This window comes from Homo sapiens, chromosome 8, assembly GCF_000001405.40.
Source record: "Homo sapiens chromosome 8, GRCh38.p14 Primary Assembly".
In the NCBI taxonomy this organism is placed as follows: Eukaryota; Metazoa; Chordata; class Mammalia; order Primates; family Hominidae; genus Homo; species Homo sapiens.
Window position 1 is genome coordinate 125,516,657 of NC_000008.11, and position 14,418 is coordinate 125,531,074.

A 14,418-nucleotide genomic window follows, 5' to 3' on the forward strand; every position below is an offset into this window, starting at 1 on the left:
ACTAATAGGATAAGATCTGGGACCATTGTGTCTCAGGATGGCATGAGGGCACTGAGGTCGTGGAGATGGGGCTGGCAGGGAAGGCCAAGGCCACAGATGGCTCTGTCATATTCTACTGAGGCCTGGTGTGGCAGTCTTGAGACAAGTCTGCAAATTCATTGACACTTCTCCCATTGACAGGAGAGATCTATGTCTCCTCCCCTTGAATCTGAGCTGGCCTTAGTGACTCTCTCGTGAGCAGTAGAATCAGCAGAGGTTTTGCTCCATGATCCCTAGTCTGGGTCATAAAAGCCCGTGGAGCCTCTGCTTGATTCTCTTGGGTCACTCACTCTGGAGGAAGCCAGCCAACTTGCATGGAGTTCAGTAACCCCAAGACTACCATGCTGGAGAGGCACATCTAAACACCTAGCCAAGAGCCAGCCTCAGCTGCCAGCCATCTTGGACTGAGATTTCACGTGACTGAGCAAATCTAGATGTCCAGCCCAACTGAGGCTTCAGATGAGTGTAGCAGCTCTGACTGGCATTGATCCAACTTTGTGAGAGGCTCCCAAGCAAGGGCTGCCCATCATGCCCTTTCTGAATTATTGACCTGTAAATTCATGAGCAAGATAGAATGGTAGTTGGTTGTTTTACACCATTAAATGTTGGAATAATTTATTTCATATCAATAGTAAACAGAATACCTTGGATCCAGCCAGCTCTTGGTAGCTCATATTTATGGGCCAAACAAATGATTATAGCAATTCAGAATGAGCTGTCCCTGGATAGCTGGAAGAGAGAGAGGGCAAGAAAAAGGATCTCATGGAAAAAAGGGCCTATAGACTTGAAAATGATTTTAGAGATTATCTTGTCCAAATCCTTCTTTTGAGGGCTGAGGGGAATAACTTGCCCAAGGTCACCGGGATTGTTTGGGAAAGACCCAGGACTGGGATCCAAGTTCCAACATCTGGACTCCTATTTTCCATCTTCAGTTTTTCTTGGCCAATACAGGACTATGGGAATAAGGGGGTGGTAGGGCAATTAATTTGGATTTTCCTGGGATGGGTTTGGATTCATAAAGTTAAATGTCATTCTGGATCTCCCTGGAAATTACTCTTTTTGGAATTCCTTGCCTAGAATGTCCTCCTTCTGTCCCTTCCTGTATGTCTGGATTCTCCCCAGGCCATCTTCTTTTTGATGTATTAAATGATTTAATCCATATGTATCTATAAGGCACTTCTTACATGCCCAGGGCTGTAGTGAGCCCTGGGGTTCCTTTGCTGAGCAAGGTAGACTTGCATCCTGCCGTCGGGCACTACCTTGATCTCCACAGTTAGAAGGAACAGCTTTCATCTTTGGACTCTAGTTCTGTTGTCTTTGCTCTGTGTAGGACACCACCCGTTTATATACTAATTGGATTTATGACTCATTTCTGGAATCTAAGCTCCTCCAGGGCAGGATTAGTGCCCAATTCATGGATGTCTCTTCTAAAGCGTGTGGCTCAGCACCTGACCCAGCTGCTCTGGCTCCTTTGTAAGGTAGTGAGCTCTGTGTTGCTGTCAGCCATTGGCAGGGAAGGATACATGTGTGATGGGTTAGGGGTGGAGAAGATGAGGGTTTTAGAGGCTTAGACAAGGGATCCTCATTCCTTCCGCTGAGAGTCTCAGTTTCTCATGTGACATCATATCAACCTCTGCCTTTTACTGACTGCTCGCTATGCCCAGCTGTGATGCTTTGGGCTTTATATATGTTTAATCCTCACATCCACCTTCTCCAGCAGGCGGGATTAAAACCTCTAGGTTACAGACCGAGAATCAGAGGCTGAGGGCCCTGCTTAAAGGCACTCAGCTTGGAAGTAGCAGAATCTGAATTCAAACCCAAGTAGATTTCTATGCCCCTATTTTTCAAAATGGAGATTGTTAACTATTGGGTTATGAAAGCAATTAGTAGATCATGATCATTTTAAAGTGAATAGAGGCCGGGTGCAGTGGCTCATGCCTGTAATCCCAGCACTTTGAGAGGCCGAGGCGGGTGGATAGCTTGAGGTCAGGAGTTTGAGACCAGCTGGCCAACATGTTGAAACCCCATTTCTACTAAAAATACAAAAATTAGCCGGGCTTGGTGGCATGCGCCTGTAATCCCAGCTACTGGGAAGGCTGAGGCACAAGAATTGTTTGAACCTGGGAGGCAGAGGTTGCAGTAAGCTGAGATTGTGCTATTGCACTCCAGCCTGGGTGACACAGCGAGACTTCATCTCAAAAAAAAAAAAAAAAAAAAAGAAAAAAAGAAAATAGAATATTGGGAGGCCGAAGTGGGTGGATCACCTGAGGTGAGGAGTTTAAGACCAGCCTTACCAACATGGCAAAACTTCGTCTCCACTGAAAATACAAAACTTAGCTGGGCTTGGTGGCACATGTTTGTAATCCCAGCTACTCATGAGGCTGAGGCAGGAGAATTGCTTGAACCTGGGAGGTTGCAGTGAGCTGAGATTGTGTCATTGCACTCCAGCCTGGCCAGCAGAGCGAGACTCCATCTCAAAAAAAAAAAAAAAAAAGAATAGACTGGAAAAGATAAGAGTGCATTACTCGTGGCAAACTGTAAAGATTGGTTTCTGAAAAATTTGGTTCATGTATACACACACACACACATACACACACACACACACATCCTGGATTCATATAGTTGCACACACACAGACACACACACATACACACACACACACCTTGGATTCATATATTTGCACACACATGCATATATACATGCACATATATAAAGGTGTTCTGTGTCACCATGTAAAATACATTTCATGGCCAAAAGTGGTTTGAAAACCACTCTTCTAGGCTGTACTGCTCCAAACTCACCAACTATAAATAACATTTTATTAAGTGCTAGGATATGCTGGGAATCCTCTTGAAGCAGAATAGTTTCTTCTGTGGAAGCAAAGTCACTTTGACAAATGGCCACGCCCTCACCCTTCCTGGCTACACTCCATTCCCACCCCCTAGCTGCCTCATCTGCTTCCCAGGGAGGCTGCAGTAGAAACCAGTGGGCTGGATTTGCAGTGCTTTCCCCAGAATGTCCTGTCTGGACAGCCCTCACTGAGCAGTGTGGTAGGATGAGGTATGATGGGGACACCTTGTCAGGCCTCTGGGAATTCTGGGCCAGCAACCCCACACCTGCCCCACACTGCCAGGCAGCAGTGAGCAGTGACTCTCATTATTTTAGGATGTCTTTATTCATGTATATCTATTCTTTCTTTCTTTTTTTTGAGATGGAGTTTCACTCTTGTCGCCCAGGCTGGAGTGCAGTGGTGTGATCTCGGCTCACCACAACCTCCGCCTCCCGGGTTCAAGCGATTCTTCTGCCTCAGCCTCCAGAGTAGCTGGGACTACAGGTATGCACCACCATGCCCAGCTAATTTTTGTATTTTTAGTAGAGACTGGGTTTCTCCATGTTGGTCAGGCTGGTCTCAAACTCCCGACCTCAGGTGATATGCCCACCTCAGCCTCCCAAAGTGCTGGGATTACAGGGGTGAGCCACCGTGCCCGGCCTATGTATACCTATTCTTGAAGTGCAAACACATGGACGTGTTTCTTCAACTGCAGGGCAGGTGCTTGTAAGAGGAGCCACAGGAGGAAGGAGGAGAGGAGAAGAGAAGAGAGGGAGGGAGGGAGGGGAGGGAAGGGGAGAGGAGAGTAGGGGAGAAGAGATGGTGCCTTTGCCCTTTCTCTGCATTTTCAAGTTGAGGGCCACAGAGCAGTCAAGAGTCTACTGATTTTATAGTTGGGGTAACTGAGGCCCAGAGAGGGGAAGGACTTTCCTGGACAACCCCAGCCTGGCATGTGGCCTTCATCTCCCTTCTCCCCAAATCTGCAGGCTGAGCTGGGCCACATCCTGGGGATTGAAGCCCTCAGGGCTGTCTTCAGGGACTTGGCCCTGTCATCCTTGTTGCTAGTCTGGCCCTGGCTATCCTGAGCTCTGGCACTGGGATCCTGTTGTCCTGCGCTCCTCTGAGCACCTCGGTCTTGCCTTGTTCTTCCACTTCCGTTTGGGGCCAGAGTCCTATTCAAATATTAAACAAGCCATTTGGCACAGGTAGTGACCAATTAGAATGAACACTGGCCAAATCCTAGAGTTCCCCTTCTGCGGTACGCACTGGCCCTTTGAATGCTAAAGGTGGGTGGTCTGGGGGTGCTGGGGAGGGGACAGAGTGGCTGGGATGGACGGTGCCTTTGCCAGGCTTGGGACAGTGGCAACTAGCCACTTAGGTATGAGAGTATGTCATTATTTTAACACCTTTACAGGTGCGTATTGGTTGAATATCAGCCTGCATCTCATCCTTAAATCCACATCCCTGAACCGACATGAGGTCTTGGCATCTGATCACAACCTCCGTGATGCCACCTGCCATTGTAGATTTCCAACGATCACCCCCATCAGATTCTCTATTGCCAGCTTTGCCTGAAGAGGGAAGGAGGAGGGGGTCTGTGCTTGTCACACGATGTCTTAGTGCCAGGCCTCGCGGTAGGGAGGTGGTTAGTCTCCTAGGGCTGCAGAGGATCACAGGCTGGGTGGTTTAAACAGCCATGCATTCTCTCACGATTCTGGAGGCGAGAAGTCTGAGAGTGCCTTTCTCCTAGTTCCTGGTGGTTTGCTGGAAATCTTTCGCATCCCTGGCTTGTGGACGCATCATCCTCTCTGCCCTCATCTTCACATGGTGCTCTCTTCGTGTCTTCTCTGTGTTCGCTTGGCCCCCTTTTAAAAGGATACTGGGGCCCATGCCAATGACCTCATCTCAACTTAATTATCAACAAAGACCCAAATTTCCCTATTTCACAGTCACAGGTACTGGGGATAGACCTCCAATATCTTCTGGGGGCATATGATTTAGCCCATATCAGGAAGATTTACTCATAATATCTTCTTGTGAACTCTGAGTATGAGATTTTTTTGATTAAAGATTATAACTGCATGTTCCTCCTTTCCTCCCTCCCTTCCTTCCTTCCTCCCTTCCTTCCCCTTCCTAATCCCTCCTTCCTCCCGTCCTTCCCCTTCCTAACTTCCTAATCCCTCCCTTCCTTCCTTCCTTCCTTCCTTCCTTCCTTCCTTCCTTCCTTCCTTCCTTCCTTCTTTTCCTTCCAGCCTTCCTTCCTGCCTTCCTTCCCAGCCTGGGCAACATGGCAAAACCCCATCTCTACCAAGATTATAACTTTCTCCCTCGCTTGCTTCCTTCCTTCCTCCCTCCCTCGCTCCTTCCCTACCTCCCTCCCTCTCTTCCTTCCTTCCTTCCTTCCTTCTTCCCTCCCTTCCTCTTCCAGAATATATTTTATTCAGATGACACATTTTATAGCAATCTTATAGATTAAACATGAGAAGGCTGATTTTCGCTGGTTGAAGAGGGATAGGAACCCCTAAGGTTTCACGAAACACATTTTGGGAACCACTGAGTAAGCTTCTCTCAGGTCTCCCTCTAGCTCAGGCATTCCATGGATCCTTCTCACCCTGGTTTTGGCTCGAACCCAGGTCTATATGGTCTTATTTATTTTAGGTCCAGTTCTGCTTGTGACTTGTTCATGTGCCTTGCCAAGGGCTGTCCAGGAAAAGGATCCCCACTGCTTTCATCCCTGAAGTTCTGGCTCAGAATGGGCTGAAAGAGGGAGCCAGCAGGGCCCTTGCCAAAGTGTTTCCAGTCAGAATAGGAATCGTGGATCTCTTCCATAACTCTGTCCTTTGTTTTGTCTGCAGAAGCCTAAGTTGTCTTAGTTTGGAAAACTCAGTGTCCTCCCTTCTTGCATGGAGCTATGGTGTGTGGAAATTCCAAACTGTAGCTTAGTTGCCTTGCCCTGAAACTTGTCTCCTCTGGAGATACAGGGCTGGGGGCAAGGCTGAGCGAGAAGAATCTGTCTTGGTCAATCCTGGTGCTCTGGAAGAAAACCTTGTGTGATGGTCATCTCTAGTTGGTAATCTGATATAAGTTGAGTTGCCGACAGAACCCAGCTGAGGAGAATGACTGGTCTAATCCCAGCATGGCTTTCCTGCTCCCTTTGCTAGGTGTGTGATTTCCCAGCTTCCCTTGGAGAAATGTCACTGCCATGATTGTGTTACAGAGGACCTCCATCTAGCCAGCACGCTCACACTCCTTCCCTGGATCGGTTTGATGAAGCAGGCCTCCATGTTGTAAACTGTCTCATGGAGAGGCCCAACTGGCAAGGAACTGAGGAAAGCCTCTGGCCAACAGCCAGTGAGGAGCTGAATCCTGCCAACAACACTGAGAAAGTTTGGAAGTGGATCCTGCCCCAGTTGAACCTTCAGATGGCTGTGGTCTCAGCTGACATCTTGATTGTAGCTTTGTAAGAGACTTTGACCCAGAGGACTCAGGTAAGCCATACTAGATCCTTACCCACAGAAACTGAGATAGAAAGTATTTCAGACCTGCCAGAGGCACCATGGCTCATGCCTGTAATTCCAGCACTTTGAAGGCTGAGGCAGGTGGATCACTTGAGCTCAGGAGTTTGAGACCAGCCTGGGCAACATGGCAAAACCCCGTCTCTACAAAAAATTCAAAAATTAGCTAGGTGTGGTGGCATTTCCCTCTAGTCCCAGCTACTCAGGAGGCTGAGGCAGGAGAATTGCTTGAGCCCAGGAGGCGGAGGTTGCAGTGAGATGAGATTCTGCCACTGTGCTCCAGCCTGGGAGATGGGAGTGAAACCTTGTCTCAAAAAAAAAAAAAAAAGTGTTTCAGATCACTAAGTTTGGGGCAATTTGTTATGTAGCAATAGACAACTCATAAAGGGGGCTTTGATTTTTGATAGAAGAGATAGAGGAAGCTGGCACCCCTGTTTTCCACCAGATGCAATGACCATCTTATGACCATGAGGCAGCAGGCATGATGGTCCCATCCATATTAAGCTTGGCAGAGCAGAAAGATAGAATGATCCAGGGTTCTGACAGCATCTATAAGCAGCTGGGTCACTGCAGCAACCACCTACCTTTGGACTTCTTATATGAAAAAAACGTACTCTCATTTAAGTCTTTGTTGATTGAGTTCTGTTACTTTCACCCAAAAGCCTTCCTAAAAGTAAATTGCTTCCTCTTGCGGAATCTCAGATACCTGATCTATCAAACCAGTGGGATGGATTAAATCATGTCTAAGGTCCCAGCTCATGATGGGCACTTCCAGCTACATAGTCATGTGATATTCTTTAGTCAAGTGCTCTATTTCTATTAGGGTCCAGTGGCACACCAGGAGCTGCAGATATCGTGGCTTTATGACAAAAACCCATGAGTGCACATTGTGATTCTTCTACTGAGGCTTGCCATAAACTCCTCACAGCATCTTTCCCCCTTCAGACTTACCTGTAAGACCATGGGTTTTAACTGGGCTTATGGCTCCAGTACTGGGGGTTACTTATACCATAACCAGGATCTACTGCATACCTTTTTCTGCACTAGGCTTCATTCAAAGCTGGCAGTCTTCTGTGTCACTTGGTAATTGGCATGGATTATTACTACAGTGTGTGAAATATGCTAAATCCAGAACCCAAAGAGGCTTACCAGGTATTGTGCTTTTTCCTTTGTGGTAGGAGGTGCAAGATATAATAATTTGCCCTTTACTTTGGAGGGGATATCCTGGCCTTTCCAGGAATCCATTAAAGCTGATATGGCAGGACCCTGAATCTTCACTCTCATCCTCTGGAGTGCTTATGTCTTGTCAAGACCTCTAGGGAAAGCCGGGTGCGGTGGCTCACGCCTGTAATCCCAGCACTTTGGGAGGCTGAGGTGGGCAGATCACCTGAGGTCGGGAGTTTGAGACCATCCTGGCTAACATGGTCTCTACTAAAAATACAAAATTAACCGGGCATGGTGGTGCATGCCTGTAATCCCAGCTACTCGAGAGGCTGAGGCAGGAGAATCGCTTGAACCTGGGAGGCGGAGGTTGTGGTGAGCTGAGATTACGCCATTGCACTCCAGCTTGGGCAACAAGAGTGAAACTCCGTCTCAAAATAAATAAATAAATACATAAATAAATACATAAATAAATAAATCCTCCAGGGTACTTGTCACTTCTTATTCATTACTTACTCATTACTTCCAAGATACTTGCCACTTCTTGCTCATTGCTTGCTGATTAATAGGGTCATGTTAATAAAGCTGACCAATGCAATGTTTTGTGGAATGTCCAGGTGGTCATTCCAGTGTGGCACTGATGTTTACCATTCCCTCATGATGCAATACTGATTTTGATTTATTAGGTTGGTGCAAAAGTTATTGTGGTTTTTGCTATTACTTTCAATGCAAAAACTACAATTACTTTTGCACCAATCTAATACTATCTTTGTTAGTGGCGGGTGGGTTGAGGCAGTTTCCCAAGTTTCACCTTCGGAACCCACTCTCCCCACCTTGATAGCTCTTGTCTCATAAGCCATGGGGGTTTTGCCAATTACCGAGTATGTTTATTTCAGTTGTATACGAGGAACTGAGGAAAGACTACTGGGTGAGTCCATGGACCTGGCTGTGACCTGGACTGGAGTCTGGACTCCATTTGTTACCTGGCCTCCATACACTCCCATTCGAACAAGGGCCAAAATAATATTTTGGATCTCCATGTATCAACTCAGACCATGTATCCACAGTCCTTAACATTTCTGACTATGAACAGAATAAAAGCTGGGAGATACTTTGACATGGTTGTGCAGAGTCTTTCTACCTGGAGGTTTGGTCTTTTCTTCAGTCAATGGGTTTCATGTCTGAAAATAGGTTCAGGTCTAGAAGCTTGGCATGGGATCCTGAGTCTTGGTTTATTTTGACTGCATAGATTGAGCAATTCCCTTGTTAGCTGCCTGTCTAGCTAGGCTTCAGGAATGTCGTGTTCTATTAATCATCTCCATAGCTGTCTGTGGGTCAGGCCCCCAGCTGCTTTGGTGACTTGGCTGCTCATTACAATATTTGCAATCATCTTCCCTTTGATGGTTAAGTGCCATCTGGCATCTATTATTTTGGGATCCTATCATCCCCCTTGCTATCACAGAAGTCTACCAGGCCCAGTATTTTCTGGCTGGATAATGCTATAACTTGGCTCTAGTTATGGATTTGGCAGTCAGGGGGTAAAGTGGGGTCTAAACTGAGAGGTGAAGGGGGTGTTTATTTTCATGTAACATAGAAGCTTCTGTATCATTTTTAAGCTAGGAGGGAGTGCTAGTATTTACTAGGAGTCCTGGGACACTTCTGCAGGCTCAGAGAGTCCTGAGTATCTGGGAGTTTAAGGATTCTTGAGGGCATGAACCCTACTGTCCCTATCCAACAGCTTAGGGCCCCACTTCTTTCTAATCGAAGCCCTAACCTTGGCATGACAGAATTACCCAGGTTGAGAATTTTCTGGTGCTCTGTTACCCTCATAATTAAGACCTGGGCCTGCTTCTGGGCCTTTTCTGTCCTTTGGATGCAGGAGAGGGGAACTCTGTACATGCTACCAAAGAGGCCCTCTGACTTTGATGCTTTGCCTTATGCTGGCAATTTCCATTGTCTTTCTGTAGCACGTTAGTAGCACTCAGCAAGCCACCCCATTTTGTTGTCATTATAGTTAGTACTTCATCCAAACCTCTCAAAAGCCTGAGATATTGCACCCGTTGGTTCATTCCCTTCCCCAAGTAGTCCATCCCAATTTACCACCAGTGAAAGGCTTCACATTTATGTCACTCTATCACCCCAAGGGCTGTTCATACTCCACCTACCACCATCCTGTCACCTCAGTGATGTCCGCCAGCCAGTGAGTGGATGATCCAGTTATAAAGTCTCATTTAGTCTGCTCCTTAGACCACCCCACTTCTGATACCAACTGTCTTAATTCTTGTATCCCAAGAAATAAACTTTGAGACAGAAATCTAGATCCTGGGTACTTACTGGGGAGTGCTTTGGAAACAACACCTGCAAGCGGGTGAAGAATCTCAGATTGGCCAGTGGGAGAAGTTGAACTCTGATGCAGAGTTCAACTCTCTGATGCAGTCACAGAAGAGGCCTTAGTCGATTGCATGGGGGACCCTGAAGCTGAGATGATCCTGCAGAATTCTCTCAGACTGAGGCCTCTGAACTTCTACATTGCTAGTCGTGGGTTGCCAGTGAGGGGACATGACTTTGGGTGAGGCAGTGCCCTTCAGTGAAGGGCGCTTCCTGGGGAGGGACTGGGCTCTGAGCCGTTAGCAGCCAACACTCCTGGGAGCTGAGCCAGCCTTTGTCCCTAAGGGAGATTCATCTGGGTAGGGCACCACAGCATCCACTATAGCAGTGGTTCTCAAAGTGTGGCACTCAAACCAGCAGCATCACCATCACCTGGGAACTCGCAAGAAATGCAAAGCCTCAGGCTCCACCCCTGACCTACTGAATTAGAAACTCTGAGTATAAGATCCAGCAATCTGTGATTTAACAAACCTTCCCAATTTGATGCGGCTAAAGTTTGAGGTCCACAGCACTACAGGGAGCAAGATCTAGCAGATGACTCACACAGAAAAATTCTGCCCTAGGCCCATTTCAATATATATTCTCAGAGCTATGTTTGATTATGGAAAGTATACATATAGTAGTATATATTTATAAATGGTTTCCTTGATCTATTTTTTTAAAAAGCATTCATTTATTTCTTTTTTAAAATAATTTTTAAAATTTTTTTTATTGAGACAGGGTCTCACTATGTTGTCCAGGTTGGTCTTGTACCCCTGGGCTCAAGTGATCCTCCTGTCTCAGCCTCCCAAAGTGCTGGGATTACAGACATGAGCCACCGCACCCTGCCTTTTTATTACTTTTTAAAAAATGTATTTCCATTTGTTTCTTAATGGACTGATGCGTGAGGGCAACTGGCTCATTTGTTTCATCTGCTTGTAACTCATGGTATTTCCCAGAGAAACTGCCAGCAGCTTTCAGTAAGTGCTAGGTCTGGACTTAGCAGCTTGGGACTGTAGGGATATCTATGTAAATCCAAGGCAGCCCAGTGGAAAGAGTTTGGGTGCTGACCTTAATTTGGAGCCTGGCTCCCCTAGCACCTCTCGCTGTGGAATCTTAGGAGGTCACTTTCCCTTTCTCATCTGAAAAAAAAAAATGGGGTTGATGTGATGATGAAAAGGAAATCACACATAGTAACTGCTAAAAAGCCTGAGCTCCACTTTCACTTCCAGCCGCCTGTGTTCCAGTTCCTGCTCTGCCACACCACACGGTGCAACCATGGGCACGCCCATTCCCATCTTGTGCACGTCCCTTCCCATCTCTGGGCTGTTACCCATCTACAAAGTGGAAGGGCATTGATCTGGACAGACTCTGCGGTTCCTTCCTGTGCCTGTGAGCAAGAGTTGTGTTGGTTACCCTTGTCCCCCAGGCATTTGGGACCCAAGGCTCCAGGAAGGGAAGGATCCTACAATGTGTTTAAAATCTCCCTCCAAATCAAGTCCTAACTCCTGCCATGTCCAGCATGACCTGGCACCTGGAGGCATCTCAGGCCTCACCCCTTTCCCTCACCCTGCATACGCCAGCCAGTCCAGCCCCTTCTTAATCTTTGAGCAAGCCAGCCAGCCTTTCTCACTACCTTGTGGACTTTGCATTGGTGAACATTTTCTGGAAAATTCTACCCCCAGCTCTTTGCACTGCTGGCTTCTTCTCATCTTCTGGGGTTCAGCTCACTGTCACCTCCTCAGCACCCCACTCAGCATTCCCCTGCCTCAGTTATAATCGTATCAGCACTTTTGTTTCCTGCAAAACACCTTTCACAATCAGAAGCACTCTCGTTTGATTGTAAGTTTAGCTGGCTATTGTCTGTGCGATTTTCTAGAATGTGCGGCCGTGAGGCTGAAACTTCTGATCTGGCCTTAATCATGACAGTGTCCCCAGCAAATGACCCTAGGACATAGTGCTCAAAAAATAGGTTGGCATGTGTCAGTGAATAGAGACTTGCTCTTAGGAATGCAGGCTGGCTCCGTCTCTATTTGTCAAGCCTTCTTGGGCTCTCATGGCTGAGAAATGGGTTTCAACTGGCAGGCCTGTTTACCCACACCACCACCTTACTGTATGCACCTCGTGCCTCATGCCATCTTGCCTCAGGAACCCATGGGATGTGCCAGATGGGCTGGGCCTGGCTCTGCTACATGTGTGTCCACTCCTAGCTCCTGGCTCCCAGCAGTCTTCCCAGGCTTCCAAGGCAAAGAAAGAGAAAGAGAGAAGAGAAAAGGAGGCTAGACTTGGCTTTGCTCTCCAACAAACCAGCAAGCAAACAGTATCTGGTTTCGAATTTCAACAAGGATGTGTCAGCAGAGCCTGGGTTGCACCAGCCTGGGTTGGGGGAGAGACTGGAGAGGTTATGTCACTGGTGAGGTGTGGTGGTGCAATGCGGGTGACAACACCACGCAGGCCCGGATGTGGTGTCAACAAACCCGGGCTCGAGCGGGGCTCCTGGGTGGGGGCATGCGGAAGTGTTGGGGTGACCCCTCGAGGAAGGAAAGAGCCACGGTCATTTCCTGAGCCTGTCTGCCAGGTGCTTTCGAGTGAGAATCCCACGAGAATCCTCTCACCTGCCAGGTGGGGCCCATGTTATCAATGTCCTTTTACAGGTGAGGAAATTGAGTCTAGGAATTGAAATGACCCGCCCGTGATCATTTGGCCCTGGTATAGAGCTGGGAACCAAACACAAATCCAGTTTTGTCTCCTCTTCCTGGGGACTCTGGGTTGAAGTTGTGCTCAACTGTTTCCTGGCTTTAGGAGGCTGGTCAGGCTTCCCAGCCTCCCCATCTCAGCCTCCTCGGTTACAAAATGAAAGTGTTGTTGCCCTCATTCATTCGGTTGGGGTGAGGTTTGAATGGACGATGGTGGCAAAACCCTTAGAAGACCACCTGGCTCTGTGTGCCCCAGACCCATCTTCCTTCTTTGTGGGTGCAGAAGTCCCAGCCCCCTGGGGAAGAAGGAGACTCTGGTGGGCAACGATGTATCCTCGGAATGGCTCCAAGGGAATGGAACCAGCTTTTAGACCCCCAGACATTGCCAGCTCTGGGCGTCCCTTCCTCTCAGGCCCTGCTCAGTAGATGACTCTGTCCCCATGGTGTGGTGATGCCTGGGTCAGGCTGTCTCCCCACTTCCTACTCTGTTGGCTACAAGAGCAGGGGCAGCAATGGCTGAGAGTCCAGACAAAAGCTTTTAGAGGAACCAGGTGGGGAGAGGGTGCCCACTGCAGACCAGGCCCTTTCTATAGCTCTTGAGATGCCCACTCTCATTGACCTCTTCCCCAAAACCTTGATGAGTGACACAGTATGCTTCTTCTTTTTTTTTTTTTAGAGATGGATAAGCTGAGGATTGGAGAGGTGAGGTCAGTGCAGCAGTCCCACAGCACACCAGAGCTGGATTTGAACCCAGGTGCATTTGCATGGCTTCTGGCTCCTCTGTGGACTGACAGCCTGTGTGGGCCAGCGCTTCCCTTCTCTGGGACTCAATTCTTCCACTTATAAAATGAGGGGGTTGGACCAGATGACTTTTTAAGAGTCTTCCCATCCCTGGTATTCCCTGAGTCGCCATCTTGGAAATTCTGACCTCATTCCTGCTTTGTGCAGCTGTTTATTTGCTTGTCTCTCTTACACTGTGGAGCTGTGGAGCAGTTCAGGCCAGTCTTGCTGGGATAAAGGCATAGCTTCCTCTGTGGCCTCTGGGTTTGAGAAGGTCTCCGAGAATCCTCACTCCACAGAGGACATAGCATCTTTTTCGGAGCCCTCCCACTGGCTCGAGAGGGAACTTGTAATTTCGTTTTATTTTTGGTTTTCTCTCTCTTGCTCTTTTTACTGGAGTAAGATATACATAATATAAAACTTACCATTTATCTATTTTCAAGCATCCAGTTCAGTGGCATTAAGTACATTCACATTATTATGTAACCATCACCATGATCCATCTGAGAACATTTTCATTATCCCAAATGGAAACTCTGTACCATAAAACAGTATCATCCATTCCTCTCTCCCCCCAGCCCCTGGTTGTGATGTGTTTTTATAGCAAAGGCTCCATGATATTTAAGAGTTGATGTCATCCTCCTTCCCCTCCCAGTTCTAGGGGAGGGAAATGGACCTACAATCCCACTGATTTCCAAAGAGTCTAGGACATGCTTAAGCACAGGATAAGGAGGGCGTGCATGAGGTTCCCTGGCTTGAGTAGCACAGTACAACCTTATAGCCTCAAAATATCTCTGCCCCAAAATGCATCAGTGCCTCAAGTTGCACAGTCTTCATTTTTTGCCCTTTCCCTGGGGTTGTTTCTTTCAAAGTATCCCACCCCCTCTGCTGCTTAGCTCTTGGGAGCGAACACACAGCTGGTGTTAGGAGAAATACATTGGGCCACCGTGGGACAGGAAACCTGCTTTCCAGTTCTGCTACTGCCTCTGATTGCATGACCTTGAGTAGCCAGCATGACCTCTACAAGCCT

At 47.6% G+C, this 14,418-nt stretch overlaps 2 long non-coding RNA genes across 2 annotated transcripts in view, besides 1 other annotated feature; both read left to right on the forward strand.

Moving 5' to 3' along the window:
* Positions 1–14,418, forward strand: part of TRIB1AL (TRIB1 associated lncRNA) — a 76,581-nt gene that overhangs the window by 49,852 nt on the left and 12,311 nt on the right. The gene's annotated exons all lie outside the window — the stretch shown is intronic.
* The window catches only part of LINC02964 (long intergenic non-protein coding RNA 2964), a 160,228-nt gene continuing 149,060 nt past the window's right edge, over positions 3,251–14,418 (forward strand). Inside the window, exons 1-2 of the long non-coding RNA XR_001746072.2 lie at positions 3,251–3,373; positions 6,087–6,357. This is a non-coding gene — a long non-coding RNA (long intergenic non-protein coding RNA 2964). The remainder of the gene's footprint in view (positions 3,374–6,086; positions 6,358–14,418) is intronic.
* Positions 4,655–5,156: an enhancer, noted in NCBI's record as "H3K27ac hESC enhancer chr8:126533553-126534054 (GRCh37/hg19 assembly coordinates)". NCBI's record gives its function as "activates a minimal SCP1, AML or CMV promoter by ChIP-STARR-seq in primed H9 embryonic stem cells {active_cell/tissue: H9 hESC(primed)}" and the evidence as "EXISTENCE:reporter gene assay evidence [ECO:0000049][PMID:30033119]".